We start from the raw sequence: 21,574 nt of genomic DNA on the forward strand, positions 1-21,574 counted from the left end.
AGGCTGGAGTGCAGTGGCGCGATCTCAGCTCACTGCAACCTCCGCCTCCTGGGCTCAAGCAATTCTCCTGCCTCAGCCTCCCGAGTAGCTGGGATTACAGGAGTGTGCCATCACACCTGGCTAATTTTTGTATTTTTAGTAGAGACGGTGTTTCACCATGTTGGCCAGGCTGGTCTCGAACTCCTGACCTCAGGTGATCCACCTACCTCGGCCTCCCAAAGTGCTGGGATTACAAGCGTGAGCCACCATGCCCGGCCGATCTGGTGTACTAGTTTTAGAGCCAGTCTACTGCCTGGGTTCAAGTTCCACCTTTGCCACTTGCTAGGCGTGATATTTCAATAGCTTTAATTATACCCCTTACTTATAGGCCAAGCGCAGTGGCTCACGCCTGTAATCTCAGCACTTTGGGAGGCAGAGGCAGGCGGATCACCTGAAGTCAGGAGCTCAAGACCAGTGTGGTCAACTTGGTGAAATCCCATCTCTACTAAAAATACAAAAATTAGCCGGGCGTGGTGGCACATGCCTATACTTGGGAGGCTGAGGCACAATAATCTCTTGAACCCGGGAGGCAGAGGTTGCAGTGAGCTGAGATCACTGCACTTCAGCCTGGGCGACAAAGTGAGACTCTGTCTCAAAAAACAAAACAAAACAAACAACAACAAAATACCCCTTATAAAGTTGGCATGGGCTGGGCAACGGTGGCTCACACTTCCCCATTCGTGGGAAGCCGAGGCAGGCAGATCACTTGAGCCCAGAAGTTCGAGACCAGCCTGGGCAACATGGTGAAACCCATCTCTGCAAAAAATACAAAAAATTAGCTGGGCATTGTGGTGCATGCCTGTGGTCCCAGCTACTCAGAAGGCTGAGGTGGGAGGGCTGCTTGAGCCCAGGAGGTCAAGGCTGCAGTGAACCGTGATTGTGCCACTGCACTCCAGCCAGGGAAACAGAGTGAGACCCTGTCTCAAAAAAAAAAGAAAAAAAGTTGGCATGTAAGATGCTTATTTAGGTCTGAAATAAGAACTCATTGAGTGAGAACTGGAATTGTTACTATAGTCATGGATGATGATGATGATGATGATGATGATAAATTTCCCTAATAACCCTATGACGAGAATACTACTATCCCCATGGAACGGATGAGGAAACTGAGGCTCCGAGAAGGTCACCTACAAAGGAAGTGACCTGGCAGGAGTTGAATGCCGCCTGCGCCTGCCGCTGTCCCAGTGCGTGTGCGCCCGTGTGCCCTGCGTGTCCCTGAGTCCCCTGCGGCTCCCCTGCGGGCTGGCCCTTCCTGCCTCCAGGCAGCCCTGCGCCCCCCTGCCCTGGGCTTCCTGTGACCGCCTGTTTGTTTGTGAGCCCTGGTGGCGGTGGCGGCGGAGGCAGCAGCGGCGGCAGGAGAAGGAGGGAAATCTTATTAATAATGCCCTGGTTCCAGCAGGAAACGGCCGTCAGACACGCTCACCGGCTCCCTCCCTCAGGAGGCAGGAAGCACAGGGACGGATGCCAAGGCCGCCAGGAGACCTCGGCCAGGCACGGCGAGCCCTGGCCCAGGCGGGGTGTCTCACCTGATGTCTGGGTAGTCGCGCACCAACACTCCCACCTCCACCTGGATGCTGGGCGTGTCTTCCAGCTGCATGACTTCAGCCAAATGGGGCACCACGGCATCCAGCCACGAGGCCTGGGACTCCTGCAGGGGAGGGAGGGTGCGGGGTCACACCCTCCCAAGATTGACCCTGCCAATTCCTGCCCCTCCTGGCTTGTTATACCATCTCTAAAATGTAGCAGAAACCAGGGGTGGTGGCTCAAGCCTGTAATCCCAGCACTTTGGGAGGAGGCCGAGGCGGGTGGATCACTAGAGGTCAGGACATCGAGACCAACCTGGCCAGTATGGTGAAACCCCATCTCTACTAAAAATACAAAAATTAGCCAGGCGTGGTGGTGCACACCTGTAATCCCAACTACTCAGGAGGCTGAAGCAGGAGAATCACTTGAAATCGAGAGGCAGAGGTTACAGTGAGCGGAGACTGCACCACTGCACTCCAGCCTGGGTGACGGAGCGAGACTCTGTCTCAAAAATAAAGAATAAAAATAAAAATAAAAAATAAAATGTAGCAGAAGACATACTATGGCCACATTTGAGAAAAATCCATAATATAATCTCCTCCCAGTTTTGCAGGTAATTTGGAACTCTGGGAAACATCTCCAAACCTCTTCCACGTCTGCAAAATCTTGCCTTTGCGGGGATGGAGACTGGACAAAGTGTACAAGGAAGCTCCCTGCATTCTTTCTTACATCTGCATGTGAATCTACAATTATCTCAAAAATTTTCCAAAGAAAACATTCCAAGGACTCCGGGCTTGGAACTCCAAGAAGAGCGACTGAATGAGGCCCTTCCAGCCCAGCTGAATACAACTGGGTACAAATAAGATCTGGCGGTTTTTAATTCCAGGGTTTAGAAATGTTAGGATTTCTGTGTTTCTGTTGCATGTAGTTTCTCTGTACGTTCATGGAGTCTTTTTTTTCTTTTTTTTTTGAGACAGAGTCTCACTCTGTCCTCCAGGCTGGAGTGTGGTGGCAGGATCTCGGCTCACTGCAACCTCCGCCTCTTAGTTCAAGCGATTCTCCTGCCTCAACCTCCCAAGTAGCTGGGATTACAGGCGTGAGCCACCACACCCGGATAATTTTGGTAATGCAAGGAGTTTTAACTCTGAGCCAGGCACTGTCCAAAGCACTTAACAGGAATTAACCAATCTGATCCTCAAAACAATGGATAGGGACCATTATTCGCCTTATTTAACAGCCGAGGAAAGCGCCCAGAGGCGAGTTCTCAGAGCAAGAAAGCCAGGTTTTAAGTGCAAAGGGTGTCGGTCAAAGTTACTGGTTGCTATTGACCCGAAGTTGGGTGAGAGTTTCTGTCCTGAGCTCTGCCCCTCTCCCCCTGGCTTTTGGGACCTGAGATTCTCGGAAGCCAAGCCTTGTCCTGGTTTCTGAAACACCCCCAACCGCGTCCCGACACTGACCAGCCGCCGGAACAGCCTCTGCAGTTGCGCCGCGTCCTCCCGGAGCCTGCCGGCCACGCGGCTGCGGGTCCGCGCCGAGCTGCAGCGCAGGCGCCCACGGAGCAGGGGCCGCACGTACTCGACCAGCGCCCGCCGGTGTAGCTCGGCTACCAGCGCCTGGAGGCGGAGGAGGGAAACCCGAGGGGTGTGAGCCATGCCCCACGGACTCCCATCCCGCCAGTCTGAAGGCCACCCCCGCCCCACTCGCCCACATCCACTCCGGGCACCCATGGGCACCCTTCCCGTGCCCACGCCCCAGTCCCCAGCCCCTGAGCTATCCTAGGATGCCTTCCCTGGCCCCCTAATTAGCCCGCGGACAGTCTCTGCCGGTCCCCAAAGGGTGCTCCATCCCAGCCTCTCCCCATTCCCCAAGCTCCACTCTCAGGGGCCCTGACTCAGTCTGCACCCCGCCTTACACCCCAGTTCCACGCACATGCCTCCCCGCAGACCCCGGGCAGGGGCCACCTCTCCCATCCACAGGGAGCCGCTCCCCACCTTAGAGGGGTTTCCTCCAGCAGGAGCGTTCTTGGCTCTCCCAACCTCCCAATCTCCCCTCTTCCCGTCCCTTTCCCCTTTCCTCCTCCCCTCTTTTCCCCCACCCCCACCTCCCCTCCCCTCAGGCAGGTGCACCTGGTAAGGCTCGTCCTGCATTCTGCGCAGGGCCAGGGCCTGGGCACCCAGCGTGCCCACGATGCCATCCAGGGCCTCCGGGCTGCTCAGCCACTTCCGGCGCATCAGCTTGTTGAAGTGTGGCTGGCAGGGACAGAGTAGGGGGTCACGCTCTCCTCCCTCCCACCCTCCCTCTTCACTTAGGAATAAGTTCCTGCAACCCTGCTCCGTGTTGAACCAGGGCTGTGCGGTGCTGGGAACACAAGGGGAAGAGATAGCCCCAGCCCTGGCATCCTTGGACTCACAGTCCAGAAGGGGAGAGAGACTGGTCCCCAGGTAGTGATGACCCAAAGCTGGCAAGGCTGGGACTCGGGAACCCAGGGGTTTAGGAAGCCCAGAGGGGATGCCTGACTCAGCATAGAGCCATGGAGGGCTTCCTGGAGGAGGGGACACCGGAACTGAGGCCCTGGTGATGATCTTCCTTAGCCAAGTGAGGGATGGGGGAGGGGGAGTGGCTCAATGGGAGAAAATAGTGAGTATTAAGAAAGTTCAGATTTCAGATGGGCATGTCAGGGAGAGGACCAGCGAAAAGGTCAGTGTGGTTGATGAAAACAGGGGACTTCATTTAAAAATTATTAAGGGCCGGGCACAGTGGTTCACACCTGTAATCCCAGCACTTTGGTAGGCCGAGGCAGGAGGGTAGCTTGAGCCCAAGAGTTTGAGACCAGCCTGGGCAACATTGCGAGACCCCATCTCTACAAAACATTTAAAAGTTAGCTGGGACTGCGCGCAGTGGCTCACGCCTGTAATCCTAGCACTTTGGAAGGCTGCGGCGGGTGGATCACCTAAGGTCAGGAGTTCAACCCTGTCTCTACTAAAATACAAAAATTAGCCGGGCGCGGTGGCGTGCAACTGTAGTTCCAGCTACTCTGGATGCTGACACAGCAGAATTGCTTGAACCTAGGAGGTGGAGGTTGCAGTGAGCCGAGATCACACCACTGCACTCCAGCCTGGGCGACAGAGTAAGACTCCGTCTCAAAAATAAGTAAATCAATTAAAAATAATAAAAATTAGCTGGGTATGGTGTCATGTGCCTGTAGTCCCAGCTACTCAGAAGGCTGAGGTGGGAGGATGGCTTGAGCCCAGGAGTTCAGGCTGCAGTGAAATATGATCATGATACTGCACTCCAGCCTGGGTAACAGAGGGAGGCCCCGTCTCAAAAAAAAAAAAAAAAAAAAAGAGAAAAAGTAAGAACTTTAAGACATATTTTTAAAATTCATTAACTATGCACAGCCCTTAAGGGAAGGAGGACGGATTGCTTCCACATTCCACTTCCTAGGTCTGGTTGAGAAAACATGTTCCCCATCTGGAGCTCTTAGGAAGGAGTATAGTAAATGCCTCAGTTAATAACATCCTCCTTTTTGAAAGTTGCCTTTTCTCTCCACCCTTGAGTAGATCCGGTATTTGACGAAACTTGTGAAAGTGGGTGGAACCTGTCTTGCCCCCTCTTTTCTAGAATGCACTGTATATGCGACTGTGACTTTCAAGGAAATGTGTTTGCCATTTGCTGATTTTGGGGGGAAGTTAATTTCTAACTTCTTCCACTGGTAAATGAAGGAAAGTATTGCACCTTGCAAATGCACCAAATGAATTGAGTTCACCATTTTAAAAACCGTCTTTTGGCCAGGCGGATCTCATTGGAAAATTATTAAGGGGCCAGGCATGGTGGCTTACACCTGTAATTCCAGCACTTTGGGAGGCTGAGGTGGGTGGATCACTTGAGGTCAGGAGTTCGAGACTAGCCTGGCCAGCATGGTGAAACCCCATCTCTACTAAAAATACAAAAAATTAGCTAGGCGTGATGGTGGGCGCCTGTAATCCCAGCTACTCGGGAGGCTGAGGCAGTAGAATCTCTTGAACCTGGGAGGCGGAGGTTGCAGTGAGCTGAGATCAAGCCATTGCACTCCAGCCTCAGCAACAAGAGCAAAACTCTGTCTCAAAAATAAATAAATAAATTAATTAAGGGCTGGGCACAGTGGCTCATGCCTGTAATCTCAGCACTTTGGGAGGCTGAGGCTCAAGAATTGCTTGAGCCAAGGGCAACATAGTAAGACTCCCTCTCTATAATTTTTTTTTGTTTGTTTAATTAGCTGGGCATGGTGGCCCACACTGTGGTCCTAGCTACTTAGGAGGCTGATGTGAGAGGATCATGTAAGCCCAGGTGGTTGAGGCTGCAATGAGCTATGATCATGCCATTGCACTCCAGCCTGGGCGACAGAGCAAGATTCTATCTCAAAAAAACAAACAGAAACAAAAACAAAACTCTTTTTCCCCCTGCCCAAAACAAAAAATAATAATAACTTTAAGACAGTGACAGAAGAGCATTAAACCAAGATTGGGCCTTTCGAAGTGTGTGTTTTGGGGGTGAGGGAAGCTGTGCGACCCTGAAGCTGGCATTGGGGTTTATTCCAGGCATAAGACAGGGAGGGGAGAGGTGAGGCTGGGGCAGGGCTGGATTGCACATGGCCTCCTGGGCTTGGGGAGAAGCCCCAGCTTTCTCCTGAGGGCACTAGGCAGCCATGGCCAGTTTGAGCTGGGGAGGGAGAGGGTCAGATTTGTGCTTTACCGAGATGGGAGGAGACGAGACTGAGGTAGAAATGATGGAGGAGGCTGGAAAAAAGGGGAAAGTGGAGATAGGGAGGGGATGAAAGGGGGTGAGGAAGGGGAAGAGGAGAATCCAAGTGGTAGAATTCATAGGATGAAGTGAGTGACCACCACCTGTGGGGAGGGAAGGGAGGTATCTGGAGGACACCAGAGACCCTGGAGATGGGCAGGCCGTGGGTCTCTCCCTGAGACAGGGGCGGGGGGAGGGTCGGGGGAGAGGCTGCAGTCTGGGTAGACACAGGGCATGTGAAGTTCGGAGATATCCCCAAGATGGTATCCATGGGAGGGCGTCTAATTCCCTCTTCAGCTCAGCCTCAGCACCTGCTCTCTCACCCTGACAGCAGCCCAGTTTTCTTTTTTGTTTTTTTGTGGTTTTTTTTTTTTGAAAGATAGGGTCTCACTATATTGCCCAGGCTGGTGTTGAACTGCTGAACTCAAGCAATCCTCCCACCTCACAGCCTCCCAAAGTGCTGGGATTACAGGTGAGAGCCACCATGTCTAATGTGTTGCTGGGTTTTGTTTGTTTGTTTTGAGACGGAATCTCGCTCTGTCGCCAGGCTAGGGTGCAGTGGCGCGATCTTGGCTCACTGCAACTTCTGCCTCCCAGTCAAGTGATTCTCCTGCCTACTCTCCTGAGTAGCTGGGGCTACAGGCACGTGCCACCATGCCCGGCTAATTTTTGCATTTTTAGTAGAGATGGGGTTTCACCGTGTTGGCCAGGATGGTCTCTTGACCTTGTGATCTGCCTGCCTTGGCCTCCCAAAGTGCTGAGATTATAGGTGTGAGCCACTGTGCCCAGCAGGGCTTTTTTTTTTTTTTTTTTTTTGATACAGGGTCTTGCACTGTCTCCCAGGCTGGAGTGCTACGGTGTGAACACAGCTCACTACATCCTCAACTTCCTGGGATCAAGCGATCCTCCCACTTCAGCCTCCCAAGTACCTGGGACTACAGGCACCCACCACCACACCCAGCTTATTGTTTTTTATTTTTTGTAGAGAAGAGGCCTCATTATGTTGCCCAGGCTGGTCTTGAACTCCTGGGCTCAATCGATCCTCCTGCCTCAGCCTTCAAAAGTGCTGGGATTACAGGTGTGAGCCACCACGCCCGGCCAGCTCTGTTTTCTGAACCTCCAAAAATGGAGCAAGGCATGAGGGAACCCACATAATGCCTGGGCCCTGGTGATTCTCCCAGGGTCCCCACCCTGGCTGATGCTCACATACACATGCACACTCATGCACACGGCGCACACACACACACAAACACTCCCTCAAAAGCCTACAGCTGTTCACACACTCACACAGGCATGCGAGCACAGCACTGTGTCCTGTCTCTTCATGTCTCTAGCTGGTTGTTTTTCTCTCCTTTTTTTTTTTTTTTTGAGACGGAGTCTCACTCTGTCGCCCAGGCTGAAGTACAGTGGCATGATCTCATTTCATTGCAACCTCTGCCTCCCACGTTCAAGCGATTCTCCTGCCTCAGCCTCCCGAGTAGCTGGAATTACAGGCGCTTGCCACCACGCCTGGCTAATTTTTTGTATTTTTAGTAGAGACGGGGTTTCACCATGTTGGCCAGGCTGGTCTCAAACTCTTGACCTCAAGTGATCTGCCTGCCTTGGCTTCCCAAAGTGCTAAGATTACAGGCATGAGCCACCACGCACAGTCTATCTCTAGCTGGTTCTGATGTCTCTCCCTCTGTCCCTCTGTCCCAGTCTCTCTCCTTTCCTTCCTCCCTCACCTATCTTGTTTTCTCAGTCTCTCCCTGTTTCTTTTGCTTCTGCTCTCTCTGTCTGTGTCTCTCTCTCCCTCAAAACATACATAGTGGTTTATAAGGCCAGGCACAGTGGCTCATGCCTGTAATCCCAGCCTGGGTGACAGAGCAAGACTCTGTCTCAAAAACAATTTAACAAAAACAAAAAAGCAAACATACATAGTGGTTTATAGACTAAGACCGTAGATTCGCAATGGGCTTTGCCACTTGCTGGTCTCATCTTCCTCACCTGTAAAATGAATCTACAACCCATCTCATAGGATTGCAGTGAGAATTAAACGAGCCGATACTCTCAAGCACCTGGCACAGTGAGTCCTGAGAATGTGTTTGCTGTTGCTATAAAGTCTGTATATTTAAGATAGCAAGCTGGGTGTGGTGGCTTACATCTGTAATCCCAACACTTTGGGAGGCCAAGTCAGGAGGATCGCTTGAGCCCAGGAGTTCAAGACCAGCCTGGGCAACATAGTGAGACCCTGTCTCTACCAGAAATACAAATAAATAGGCAGGGCGAGGTAGCTCACACCTATAATCCCAGCACTTTGGGAGGCCAAGGTGGGCAGATCACGAGGTCAAGAGATCGAGACCATCCTGGCCGACATGGTGAAACCCCGTCTCTACTAAAAATACAAAAATTAGCATGGTGGCGTGGTGGCAACCGCTATAGCATGGCAGGTGGCAGTAAGTGCTTTGGAGAAAAATAGCAGGGAGTCGGGAGGGGGGTTTGGTCTAGGGGCTTCTGTTTTTTTGTTTTTTGAGAGGGAAGTCTCGCTCTGTCACCCAGGCTGCAGTGCAATGGTGCGATCTTGGCTCACTGCAACCTCAGCCCCCTGGGTACAGGCAATTCTCCTGCCTCAGCCTCCAGAGTAGCTGGGAGTACAGGTGTGTGCTGCCACACCTGGCTAATTTTTGTAATTTTAGTAGAGACGGGGTTTTGCCATATTGGCCAGGCTGGTCTCAAACTCCTGACCTCAAGTGATCCGCCCACCTTGGCCTCCCAAGTGCTGGGATTACAGGCGTGAGCCACCGCACCCAGTCAGAGCTTCTGTTTTAAATGGGGCAATCAGCGAAGGTCGCACTGAGGTGACATTTGAGTCAAGACTTGAGGCAGGGCATGGTGGCTCACACCTGTAATCCCAGCACTTTGGGAGGCCGAGGTGGGCAGATCACATGAGGCCAGGAGTTTGAGACCAGCCTGGCCAACATGGTAAAACACCATCTCTACTAAAAATACAAAAAAATTAGCTGGGCGTGGTGGTGCATGCCTGTAATCCCAGCTACTAGGGAGGCTGAGGCAGGAAAATCGCTTGAACCTGGGAGGCAGAGGTTGCAGTGAGCTGAGATTGTGCCATTCCACTCCAGCCTGGGCGACACAGGGAGACTGTCTCAAAACAAAACAAGACTTGAAACAGGCATGAGAGGCAGCTATGTGGCTGTGAGAGGGAGAGCATTCCAGGCAGAGGGAAGGGCAAGTGCAAAGGCCCTGAGGCAGGAATGTACTTGCTGGGTTAAGAGACAGCAAGGGGGCTGGCGTGGCTGGAGTGGGATTAGTGGGAGAGCCAGGAGTGGGGGGAGGGTGGCGGGCAGGGCAGGAGATGAGGTCTGAGAAGGAGAGTAGTGAGGGAAGGGGCTGATTGTGCCGGGTTGTGGGGGCTACAGTGGGATTTTGGCATTTGCTCTGCGTGAGCTGGGAGTTGTGGGAGGATTCTGAGCAGAGAGAAGGGGAGTGTTCCACTGTATAACATGGGTTGAGCTTGTGTTACGGCCAGGAACACACTCCCCCTGCAGTCTCTCTCCTCAGTGCTCCCACCCCCCTACCACATTCACTCACCCACCTTTGCACCGAACCCCTATAGGGCGGGCACGAGGACCAGGAGATGGGTGTATGGGGCTCTGGGGTCTAGGAGAGCCTGAGCAGGGATCTGGGGGACCTCAGTGGGGAGGGGCTCCATCCAAACCTCAAGCCCCCTCCTGCTGATGGCCCTCTGTTATCCCGGTGGGTGCACCCTCTCCACTCCACCAACAGCCCAGGCATGGCCTTAACTGCCCCTGCCCCCCGCCCCTGTCTGCTTCCCAAACACTGAGCCATGGGCTAAAAGGAACTGGAGGATGGTGGGGGGCAGCGCTTCCCTGTCCTGGCATGGGCCCCAACCCTGGCCTCCCACCTCACTCACCTGCAGCTCCTGGAACAGCAGGTTGGCCACGACACGGTGGCAGAGCCGGGTCACATGGTCCAGAGCACTAGCAGATGCTTCCCGGGCCGGCTCGCTTTCTGGGGGCCCCACCCGGGCCAGGCGCTCGGCCAGAGCTCTGTGGGGATCAACAGAGCCAAAACTGAGGGACCCCAACATCTCAGCCCAACTGCCTAGGCCTGTCTTCCCTTAGGTAGATCAGAGGGGCACAGGGGTGACAGGTCAGATGGGGGGCTGAGAAAGGTCAGGGACTCTGGAGAGGGGTCAGGGGATGCTTGACAGGTTGGGGGTGTCTGGGGATTGGGGTGTCTGGGGACGTCAGGGGACTCATGGATGTTGGGGGGCTGAGGGATGGCTAGGAGGTCTAGGGTATATTGGGGGAGGGAAGGGGGGTCTCTCTGTGTCTTCGGGTCTCAGTTTCTCTTGGTGCTTTCTGGGTGAGAGTGTGGAGGCCTCCATTCTAAAAGTCTGTGGTTCTTTTTTTTTTTTTTGAGACGGAGTCTCGCTCTGTCACCCAGGCTGCAGTGCAGTGGTGCCATCTTGGCTCACTGTAAGTTCCGCCTCCCAGGTTCATGCCATTCTCCTGCCTCGGCCTTCCGAGTAGCTGGGACTACAGGCGCCCACCACCACACCCAGCTAATTTTTTGTATTTTTAGTAGAGATGGGGTTTCACCGTGTTAGCCAGGATGGTCTCGATCTCCTGACCTTGTGATCCACCTGCCTTGGCCTCCCAAAGTGCTGGGATTACAGGCATGAGCCGCCGCACCCGGCCAAGTCTGGGGTTCTAATGGTCTACAGCTCTGAAACTGTACCCTTACTCTTCTCTTTTTTTTTTTTTTTTTTTGAGACACAGTTTTGCTCTTGTTGCCCAGGCTGGAGTGCAGTGGCGCGATCTTGGCTCATTGCAACCTCAACCTCCCAGGTTCAAGTGAGTCTCCTGCCTCAGTCTCCCAAGTAGCTGAGACTACAGGCACCCGCCACCACACCTGGCTAATTTTTGTATTTTTAGTAGAGACAGGTTTTCACCATGTTGGTCAGGCTGGTCTTGAACTCCTGGCCTCAAGAGATCTGCCCACCTTGGCCTCCCAAAGTGTGGGATTATAGGCATGGGCCACTGCATCCTGCCCCGGCCATTTATTATGATTACTATTATTTGTAATACAAATGGTAGAATAGTATACCCACTTCTGCCCTTTCCTTCAACAGCTTGGAGACTTTTCCGTTAGGGCATGAAGAGTTCTCACGCTCCTTTTTAACATCTGAACTGGATTCCACTGCTTAGCTGTCCTATCATTTATTTAACTGGCCCTCGATAGATGGACAGTTGGTTCCATTTTTTCCAGGGAGGAACCCTGCACATATGTCATATCCCATGAGCTTTTGGCCTCTGAAGGGTGCATTCCTAGAGGATCTGCTGGGTCAAGCGCCCAGTGTTTGTGATTTGGGCAGAAAGTGCTTGGTCTGGACTGTTCTCCATTCGGCAATGGAAGAACACAGACTGCTACAATGATAGGAAATGGGAATGGCCAGGCAAGGTGGCTCATGCTTGTAATGCCAGCATTTTGGGAAGCTGAGGCAGGAGCATCACTTGAGCCTGGGAGTCCGAGACCAGCCTGGGCAACATAGAGAGACCTCCATCTCTTTTATTTTCTTTTTTTTGAGATGGAGTCTCGCTCTGTCACCCAGGCTGCAGTGCAGTGACGGGATCTTGGCTCACTGCAACCTCCACCTCCCAGGTTCAAGCGATTCTCCTGCCTCAGCTTCCTGAGTAGCTGGGATTACAGGCACCTGCCATCATGCCCAGCTAATTTTTGTATTTTTTTAGAGATGGGGTTTCACCATGTTGACCAGGCTGGTCTTGAACTCCTGACCTGAGATGAACTGCTCGCCTCGGCCTCCCAAAGTGCTGGGATTACAGGTGTGAGCCACTGTGCCCAGCTGACTCCCATCTCTTTTTTTTTTTTTTTTTTTTTTTGAGACGGAGTCTCGCTCTGACGCCCAGGCTGGAGTGTAGTGGCGCGATCTCAGCTCGCTGCAAGCTCCGCCTCCCAGGTTCACGCCATTCTCCTGCCTCAGCCTTCGGAGTAGCTGGGACTACAGGTGCCCACCACCAAGCCCGGCTAATTTTTTTGTATTCTTAGTAGAGACAAGGTTTCACTGTGTTAGCCAGGATGGTCTCGATCTCCTGACCTCATGATCTACCCGCCTCGGCCTCCCAAAGTGCTGGGATTACGGGTGTGAGCCACGATGCCTGGCCCCCATCTCTCTCTCTTTTTTTTTAGTTAAACTAATCAAAAAGGATAAAAAGGCAAAAAAAAAATCTGTCATTCTTTTTTTTTTGAGACGGAGTCTTGCTCTGTCTTCCAGGCTGGAGTGCAGTGGTGCGATCTTGGCTCACTGCAAGCTCCGCCTCCCGGGTTCTCACCATTCTCCTGCCTCAGCCTCCCGAGTAGCTGGGACTACAGGTGCCCGCCACCATGCCCGGCTAATTTTTTTTTGTATTTTTTAGTAGAGACGGGGTTTCACCGTGTTAGCCAGGATGGTCTCGATCTCCTGACCTCGTGACCCGCCTGCCTCGGCCTCCCAAAGTGCTGGGATTACAGGCATGAGCCACTGTGCCCAGCCAAAATCTATCATTCTTAGAGTCTTGAGTCCGGCGTCTAGGATTCTGTAATTCGAACACTCCAATATTCGGATGCTCTGTGGTGCTATGGCTGTTTCAAGGACTCCCAGATTTTATGCGTCTAAGGTCCCATGCTCAGACTCCCCTGAGTCAGTTCTGCAATCCCCACCCAGGATCCGGGCATCCCAGGTCAGCTTCCACCTTGGATTGGTCCTCCCTCCATCACACCATGGATGCCCTCACCTCAGTGGGGGGCCGCAGTTGACCAGGGCGATGGTCTTGCTGATATAGGTGTCAGGTAGCATCTCCCGGACTGCTGGGTTCTCATGGAATCGCTCCACACGCTGCTGGAAGCTGGTGGGAGGAAAGGGGACAGATAGGGCGCCACTGGGTCAGGGTCCCTCGTGGGCACCCAGCCTGCCAAAGCCACCATCCCTGCGGTGGCACTCTACCTGTCCTCAGGTGACTCCCTCTCATCTCTCCTCTCTCTATTGGATCCCAGGCCCTGATGCCCAACCCCCAGCAGAGCTAACCTGTGCTCCCAGGTTCCCCTACCTCTGCAGGAACTCTGCCAGCCCGCCTAGGCAGCAGTGGGCCATCCGCTCCCCAAACTCCTGGCTGATGCGGGGTGCTCGCTCTGTGTGCTCTTCCAGCAGCTGTGAGGTCCAGGGCGACAAGAAGAGGTGAGGAGGGGCAAGGTCCCACTTTCCATCCAGCCCATCCCCCAGCCTCCCTCCACCTCCTACCTCACACACATCCTGGGCCAGGCTGCTGGGCTGGTCCTCCAGGCTCCCCCAGTGCTCTTCGTCCTCCTGCAGCACACGGAGAAGGGCAGCCCGGGTCTGAGCCTACAGTAGGGAGAGGGGAGACAGGCAGGAGTTGGGGGCGGCCTGGAGGTCTTTTTTTTTATCTCTTTCTCCCACCACAATCCCCTAGCCCTTAACCCCAAGCAGTTCTGGATTCTACCTATGAGCTTGTCAAGGTGATGCTGGGGAGGGAGGCTGAGCCAGAAAACTTCTGCAGCCCTTCCCACTCCTAACTCTGTGGTTTGGAACTTCATATTAAAAGTCTGGTTTGGCCAAGCGCGATGGCTCACACATGTAATCTCTTTGGGAGGCTGAGGTTGGCGGATCACCTAAGGTCAACAGTTCAAGACCAGCCTGGCCAACATGGAGAAACCCCGTCTCTACTAAAAATACAAAAATTAGCTGGGCGTGGTGGTGCGTGTCTGTAATCCCAGCTACTCAGGAGGCAGAGGCAGGAGAATTGCTTCAACCTGGGAGACAGAGGTTGCAGTGAGTGGAGATCATGCCATTGCACTCCCGCCTGGGCAACAGGGTGAGACTCCAACTCAAAAATAAAAATAAAATAGGCTGGGCGCGGTGGCTCACGCCTGTAATCCCAGCACTTTGGGAGGTCGAGGCGGGTGGATCACGAGGTCAGGAGATGGAGACCATCCTGGCTAACACGGTGAAACCCCGTCTCCACTAAAAATACAAAAAATTAGCCGGGCGTGGTGGTGGGCGCCTGTAGTCCCAGCTACTCAGGAGGCTGAGGCAGGAGAATGGCGTGAACCCGGGAGACGGAGCTTGCAGTGAGCCGAGATTGTGCCACTGCACTCCAGCCTGGGCAACAGAGTGAGACTCCATCTCAAAAAAATAAATTAAAAAATAATAAATAAATAGATAAAATAAAATTAGTCCATGGTTTTAAGCTTCCTCCATCTAATAAGCAAGGGCTTAATTGTGTGTGTGTGCACGTGTGTGTATAATTAAATATATACATATATTTATGTATTAAATATATACATATATTTATGTATTAAATATATACATATATTTATGTATTAAATATATACATATATTTATGTATTAAATATATACATATATTTATGTATTAAATATATACATATATTTATGTATTAAATATATGTTATATATGTAATATATTTATATATTAAATATTAGTATAAGCTATATAATGTGTATATTAATAATTCATAATACGTTATTTATATATTAATAATTAGTATGTATTATATACTATAGCACATGAAATATGTAATCTATATTAACATATAAATATTAAATATAAATCAATAATACATATTATAAATAATATATTATAAATAATATAGATACATGTGACCAGGTGCGGTGGCTTATGCCTGTAATCCCAGCACTTTGGGAGGCCAAGATGGGCAGATCACCTGAGGTTGGGAGTTCAAGACCAGCCTGAACAACATGTAGAAACCCCTTTTCTACTAAAAATACAAAATTAGCCGGGCATGGTGGCGCATGCCTGTAATCCCAGCTACTTGGGAGGCTGAGGCAGGACAATCACTTGAACCCGGGAGGAGGAGGTTGCGGTGAGCCGAGTTTGTGCCACTGCACTCCAGCCTAGGCAACAAGAGTGAAACTCCGTCTCAAAATATATATATGTGTACATTATAAATAAAGCTATAATATAATATATTATTGTATATTATTTATAATATACACATTTATATGTTAATATGTATACACAAATAATGTATACTTAATATTTATATTAAATATAAATCCTATTATTACATATTATGATATGTATGAAGTATTATTTATATTAAATATTGTTTTTCTTTAGAGGCCACGTCTTGCTCTGTCCCCCAGGCTGGTGTGCAGTGGTACCATCATGGCTCACTGCAGCCTCACACTCCTGGACTCAATCCTCCCGCCTCAGATTCTTGAGTAGCTGAGACTACAGGCACGTGCCACCACACCCAGCTAACTTTTAAAATGTTTTACAAAACATTTTTGTTTTGTTTTGTTTTGTTTTTGAGATGGAGTCTCGCTCTGTCGCCCAGGCTGGAGTGCAGTGGTGCGATCTCGGCTCACTGCAAGCTCCGTCTCCCGGGTTCACGCCATTCTCCTGCCTCAGCCTCCAGAGTAGCTGGGACTATAGGCACCCGCCACCATGCCCAGCTAATTTTTTGTATTTTTACTAGAGACGGGGTTTCACTGTGTTAGCCAGGATGGTCTCAATCTCCTGACCTCGTGATCCACCCGCCTCGGCCTCCCAAAGTGCTGGGATTACAGGCGTGAGCCACTGTGCCCGGCCACAAAAGTTTTAAAACAGAGACAGTCTTGCTATGTTGTCCAGGCTGGTCTTGAACTCCTGGCCTCAAGAAATCCTCCCACCTCAGCCTCCCAAAGTGCTGGGATTACAGGTGTGAGCCACCGCGCCCGGCCAAGGGTCTATGTTTTATTGTCTTTTGGTCCCAAGACTCTGCTCTCAGGTTCTGCCAAACAGTTAGTTTAAGATTCTCAGATTCTGTGTTTCAAGAACTCCAAAGGCTGGGCTGCAAAGGTTCTCACATCTCTGATTCTCTGATCAAATGTGTTGTCTCGGCTGGGGTGACTCATGCTTATACTCCTAGAGCTTTGGAAGGCTGAGGCTGGAGGATCACTTGAGGCCAGGATTTTGAGACTAGCCTGGGCAAAATGGCAAGACCCTGTCTCTGCAAATTTTTTTTTTTTAAATTATCCAGGCATGGTGGTGTGTGCCTGTAATCCCAGCTACTCAGGAGGCTGAGGTGGGAAGATCCCTTGAACCCAGGAGTTCGAGGCTGTAGTGAGCTGTAATCATGCCACTGCACTCCAGCCTGGGCAAAAGAGGGAGACATCTGTAATTAAAAAAATAAAAAAGTATAATCCTCAATTTGATGAGTTTAAGGATCCAGATCTCTTTTCTATGGTTCTAGGCTCTTAAGTAGCATTGACTGATTTCTGTGGCTGGAAGTAGGACTGGAATTGAGACAGCAAACATCACTGTAGCCGGGGACGGCGTGCATGGCTGGGCCATTCTGCTCAGCGGTGTCTGTGCAGGTTCAGTAATTAACCATGTTTATTACCAGCCCTGCTTATATGTGAAGATCTTTGTCAGCCAGGCCTGATGGCACGTGCCTATGGTGCCAGCTACTGGAGAGGCTGAGGCAGGAGGATCGCTTGAGTCCAGGAGGTCAATGCTCCAGCCTGGCAACAGAGCGAGACCCTGCCTCAAAAAAAAAAAAAAAAAAAAAATCTTTGATGCTATACTTCTGTGAGTCTTTGGGCCTGTGAGCTGTAGTTCTGTGACTAACTTTCTTGTACTCTAAGGTTTGAAGTGTCCAGATATACTGAACCTTTACCAAGTGTCTCTGTACAGCGGCCTTTGTGTCTATGGCACATGGATAGAACTCAGAAGTTCGTAAAGGGAAAAGGGAGTTGGAAAGAGTGAAAGGTGGAGGGGACAGGCTTCCCAAGCCCACTGTGACCCCCTCCCTCCACAGCACCTCCTGCTTCCAAAATGCAAAGTTCCAGGTACCTTAACATCTGTGACGCATTCATCCTCCAAACCCCGCAGGGTGCCAGGGGAGAGAAGGGGCCCCAGCTCCCCATTCTCCAGGGCGGCCATGTCCACCAGCCCTAGGACCTCTCTGGGGATGGGGGTGAGAGAAAAGGAGGTCTGTGAAAAGTGGGGCTGGGCAGTTGGAACCTTCCCCACACCCTCCTACCCACTGTTTCTGTGACCCTGGGCCACTCCCTTCCTCTCTCTAAGTCATCTCTGCTCATCCCTCAGAGGAAGTCTTTGGAATTGTTGCTTCCCCGGCTCCAGCTCTCTGAGTCAGCTCCCTGATGGATGGTGTCCCGGCATGATATTTAGGGGTCAAGTCCAGGCTTGAAGATCTGACATGCAAGGCTTCACCCATGATCCATTTCACCAGACAGAAGTTCCCTTTGCACCTATGCTCTGAGGCCCTGCTGCCTTACCTGGCCTTGGAGGCTTCCCCAGTCCAGCCCTCTCTCCCCACCTTCTACGAGCTTACATGCCTGGAGCTATGTGATATCATCAATATCCACCCCCAAACACCCCAGACTTGGGCTCATGGCATCCTCTCAATTATAAACACCATTGCCCTACAAATTGGACCAAACCCAGTTCCCACCACTTTAGGAAGCTTTCCGGACTCCCTATCCTGCCTCCATCCCTTATAGATAACATGAGAGCATTATTGACATACATTCCCAAATGAGATCTATGTGGTCAATGTGGGTATCTGTTGCCTTCCCAGTCTTCCGGTGACAGCATCCTGATTTTGTTGGAAGAACCACCCACCCCCTTCACTGTCCAACGTGTGGCTTGGATGTGGCTAACTCCCTTTTCTCTGGGGTAGACAGGTGACCTGGAGGTGGCTAATCACCATAGTCCATCCCCCGGCCACAAGAATGGGTATGTTTTAGGACACAAAGTCTCAACAGTAATAAGATTCTAGGACTGAGAGGGACCATGGTACTGAGGTTCTGGGTGCTACCCTTATAGAATTCAAGGGGCAAACAGCACTCAAGTCCTAAAACTGGCCCGGGCATGGTGGCTCACACCTGTAATCGAAGCACTTTGGGAGGCCAAGGTGGGTGGATCACTTGAGGTCAGGAGTTCGACACCAGCCTGGCCAACATGGTAAAACCCCGCCTCTACTAAAAATACAAAAAAATTAGGCCGGGCACAGTGGCTCATGCGTGTAATCCCAACACTTTGGGAGTTCGAGGCAAGTGGATCACCTGAGGTTAGGAGTTCAAGACCAGCCTGGCCAACATGGTGAAACCCCGTCTCTACTAAAAATACAGAAATTAGCTGTGCATGATGGTGGGCGCCTGTAATCCCAGCTACTCGGGAGGCTGAGGCAGGAGAATCACTTGAACCCGGGAGGCGGAGGTTGCAGTTGGCAGAGATTGCAGCACTGCACTCCAGCTTGGGCGACAGAGCAAGACTCCGTCTCAAAATAAATAAATAAATAAATAAATAACGTCCTAAAACTAGAAGGATCAACAGTGTTGAGGTTCTAAGACCAAAAGAGGGAATGAGGCTAAGGTTTAGGATTCAAAGCTTCATTGGTACTAAGCTTCTATGGTTGCACCATACATTCTAAGTTCTAAGATTGGAAACGTCAACAGTACTAATGCCCTAGGCTCTAAAGAGAAAGCAGTGTAGGATTCTAGAATTCTAAGTGTCATTGTATTAAGGTGAAGGGTCAGTGGGGCTATGGTTCTAGGAAGGAATGGTCAACAGTGCTAAAACTCTAAGACTGGAAGGGTGAACAGCTAAGATTCTAGTAGCGTAAGTGTCATGAAGCCCAGGTTCTTGGACTGGTGGGCCCACCGTGCTGAGCTACTAGGATTGAAACTGTCGATAGTGCTAAAATTGTAGAACTGGAAGAGTCAATGGTGCCAATAGGTTCTAGGTCTGAAAGGGTGGGAATGCTAGGATTCTAAGACTGGAAGCATCAGTGTTACTTAGATGCTAGGAGTGTAACTGTCGATGATGCTAAGGTTGTATGTAGGTCTAGAAGAATGAATGGTGTTGAGATTTTAGGAACGGAAAAGTAGCAACGCAAAGGTTCTAGGACTAGAGGAATCAATGGTGCTAAGATTCGGGGACTGGAAGGGTGGACAGCGAGGCGATCTAGAGTGTAAGTGTTGACAGAGCGCTGAGGTTTTTGGACCACAGTGGTGCCGGAGCTCTTATTCTAGGACTGCAAGCGTCCATGGTACTAAGGTGCTGGAACCGGAAGCCTCGGTAGCAGTGAGAGTCTAGGATTGTAACTGTCAGCGGTGCTGACGACTGGATGGGTTAATGGTGTTAAAGTGCTAGGACTGTAGGGTCAGCTGTCCCAAGGTCCTTAAGGTCTGAAGAAGCCAGTGCTAGGGGGTAGGGCTGAGGGTTTCACGTGACCTTGGGCAACTGAGTCCAGCTTACCTGGGGTAGACCTGATTGTGCCAGTGCAGCAGCGCGTAGCGGTCGGCCAGCGGCAGCCTGCGACGGGCGGAGGCCCCCAGCCACTCGGCCAGGGCCCCGTGGTAGCCGCGCAGGTAGACGCCGAAGGCGCCCAGGCCGGCGGGGTAGGCGGGCGCCAGGCGGCCCCGCACCACGGCCATATCCTCCAGCAGCCGCGCCCGCAGCGCCTCCAGCTGCCCGGCCAGGCCCCCGGGCGCCCCGGGAGCCGCTGCCTCTAGGCGCTCCCGGGCCGCGCGCGCCACGGCTTCGGCCCAGCGTGCGCGTAGTTTGCGGGCCGCCCCGGGACCCCGACGCCCGTCGGCCGCCTCCTCCTGTACCAGCACCTGGCCCAGCTGCGCCACCGCGCCAGCCCCGGCGCACGCTCCCGGCCCGGGGCCCGCCAGCGTCTCGCGCACCAGCGCCCACAGCTCGCGCTGCAGGGCCTCGTACAGCAGCGCCACGTCCCGCGCCCGGCGGCCCCCGCCAGCGCCCTCGGCCTTGGGAGGCCCAGGCGCGCCGCCCCTCGACGGCGCCAGCTCCTCGGCCTCTAGCTCCAGGATGTGCTCGTCCGCACGCGCTAGTTCGCGCTGCTGGATCAGGCTCAGGATCTCCAGCACTGCGGGAGCAAAGCGGGAGGTCAGCAGTGCGCGGGGGGGAGGAGGGCGATGCCGGACGCGGGGTTGGGGGTGCTTAGGAAGGGGAGAGAGATGAGGGGAAAAGGGTTACAGGAGGCGGGAAAGTGTGGGGGCAGAGAAGAGCCCGGAGAAGAGCAAGAAAGAAGGATGTTGAGTGAAGGATGTAGGGGAGGGGTCAGGGTGAGGGGCTCATGCTTGTAATCCTAGCACTTTGGGAGGCCGAGGCCGGCGGATCACTTGAGGTCAGGAGTTCAAGACCAGCCTGGCCAACATGGCAAAACCTCGTCTCTACTAAAAATACAAAAATTAGCCAGGCGTAGTGGCGTACACCTATAATCCCAGCTACTCGAGAGGCAGGAGAATCGCTTGAACCCGGAAGGCAGAGGTTGCAGTGAGCCGAGATCGCGCCACTGCACCCCAGCCTGGGCAACATGTTGAGCGAGACTCTATCTCAAAAATAAATAAATAAAAAAGAGAGAGGGGGAAAAGAAAAATGCCTGTGACTGAGGAGGGGATCTGGGGAGGTTGCAGGGCGGAAAAATGGAGGAGGGGTCGGAGGAGGCGAGAAGGTTGAGAGAGGAGCCACGTAAGGGGGAGAGAGATGGAGGCAGCCGGTGGGAGTAGGAGGGGCAGGGTGGTGACTTGGAGATGGGGAGAGGATATGGGACCACTGATGGGGTCTTTTTGGGGTGGGGATGGCTGTGGGCTGATCTGGCCCTCTGATGAGTTCAGACTGCCTCGAGAAAGGCGAGTCGGGCTGGAAGGCCTCTGAGGCTGAAGGAGGGTCCTGGCAGCCCAGGGTTACCCTCGACACCTCCACCCCCCTCCACTTCCTCCCTGGCAGAGAAACTATTTCCTGGCCAGCGCTATTTCTGCCCATCCGTTTCCAGAAGGCGGGGCTCTAGTCACCCCCTCCTCACCTCCCTCCAGTGCCCTCCCAGTCCCCAGGGAGCTGGGGCTGAAATAGCCTCTGGCCAGAACGTGGAGGGCATCAGAGGACAGAAAAGGCTCTCCTGAGGTCCCCAGCCCTGGAGCAGTTCGGGCCTCGGGGCTAAAAGCCGGGCTCAGGCACGGGAGCAGAGATAAAGGCAGGGTTGGGGGTGGCGGTGAATTAAGATGGGGATTGGGACACGGATGGGGATAGGGCCGGAGGTGAGGATGGGGTGAAGGTGGGGGTTGGGATGAGGGAGTTTAGGGTTAGGATGAGGTCAGGTGGGAGTCTGGACAGAAATGGGA

General features: G+C 52.5%; 2 protein-coding genes and 1 pseudogene across 3 annotated transcripts in view, besides 3 other annotated features; 1 reads left to right on the forward strand and 2 right to left on the reverse strand.

Annotated features, from left to right (window-relative positions):
• Positions 1 to 2,576, forward strand: part of BLOC1S3 (biogenesis of lysosomal organelles complex 1 subunit 3) — a 38,300-nt gene extending 35,724 nt beyond the window's left edge. For both annotated transcript variants that reach the window (XR_007066811.1, XR_007066813.1), the window contains exon 5: positions 2,169 to 2,576. The gene's annotated coding sequence lies outside the window, so the exon portion shown is untranslated. The remainder of the gene's footprint in view (positions 1 to 2,168) is intronic.
• EXOC3L2 (exocyst complex component 3 like 2) overlaps positions 1 to 21,574 on the reverse strand; it is a 33,038-nt gene that overhangs the window by 2,138 nt on the left and 9,326 nt on the right. The window contains exons 3-11 of the mRNA NM_001382422.1: positions 19,686 to 20,319; positions 17,256 to 17,367; positions 13,658 to 13,759; positions 13,467 to 13,567; positions 13,155 to 13,265; positions 10,271 to 10,406; positions 3,690 to 3,812; positions 3,021 to 3,176; positions 1,566 to 1,687 (exon numbers count right to left, since the gene is read on the reverse strand). Coding sequence (NP_001369351.1) covers positions 1,566 to 1,687; positions 3,021 to 3,176; positions 3,690 to 3,812; positions 10,271 to 10,406; positions 13,155 to 13,265; positions 13,467 to 13,567; positions 13,658 to 13,759; positions 17,256 to 17,367; positions 19,686 to 20,319 — 1,597 coding nt within the window. The remainder of the gene's footprint in view (positions 1 to 1,565; positions 1,688 to 3,020; positions 3,177 to 3,689; positions 3,813 to 10,270; positions 10,407 to 13,154; positions 13,266 to 13,466; positions 13,568 to 13,657; positions 13,760 to 17,255; positions 17,368 to 19,685; positions 20,320 to 21,574) is intronic.
• Positions 1,405 to 1,939: an enhancer, noted in NCBI's record as "H3K4me1 hESC enhancer chr19:45719170-45719704 (GRCh37/hg19 assembly coordinates)". NCBI's record gives its function as "activates a minimal SCP1, AML or CMV promoter by ChIP-STARR-seq in primed H9 embryonic stem cells {active_cell/tissue: H9 hESC(primed)}" and the evidence as "EXISTENCE:reporter gene assay evidence [ECO:0000049][PMID:30033119]".
• Positions 2,562 to 3,257: an enhancer, noted in NCBI's record as "H3K4me1 hESC enhancer chr19:45720327-45721022 (GRCh37/hg19 assembly coordinates)". NCBI's record gives its function as "activates a minimal SCP1, AML or CMV promoter by ChIP-STARR-seq in naive H9 embryonic stem cells {active_cell/tissue: H9 hESC(naive)}" and the evidence as "EXISTENCE:reporter gene assay evidence [ECO:0000049][PMID:30033119]".
• Positions 3,258 to 3,951: an enhancer, noted in NCBI's record as "H3K4me1 hESC enhancer chr19:45721023-45721716 (GRCh37/hg19 assembly coordinates)". NCBI's record gives its function as "activates a minimal SCP1, AML or CMV promoter by ChIP-STARR-seq in naive H9 embryonic stem cells {active_cell/tissue: H9 hESC(naive)}" and the evidence as "EXISTENCE:reporter gene assay evidence [ECO:0000049][PMID:30033119]".
• LOC100420902 (exocyst complex component 3 like 4 pseudogene) lies at positions 19,688 to 20,302 on the reverse strand (annotated as a pseudogene).

Source organism: Homo sapiens, chromosome 19 (assembly GCF_000001405.40).
Source record: "Homo sapiens chromosome 19, GRCh38.p14 Primary Assembly".
NCBI classification, from domain to species: domain Eukaryota; kingdom Metazoa; phylum Chordata; class Mammalia; order Primates; family Hominidae; genus Homo; species Homo sapiens.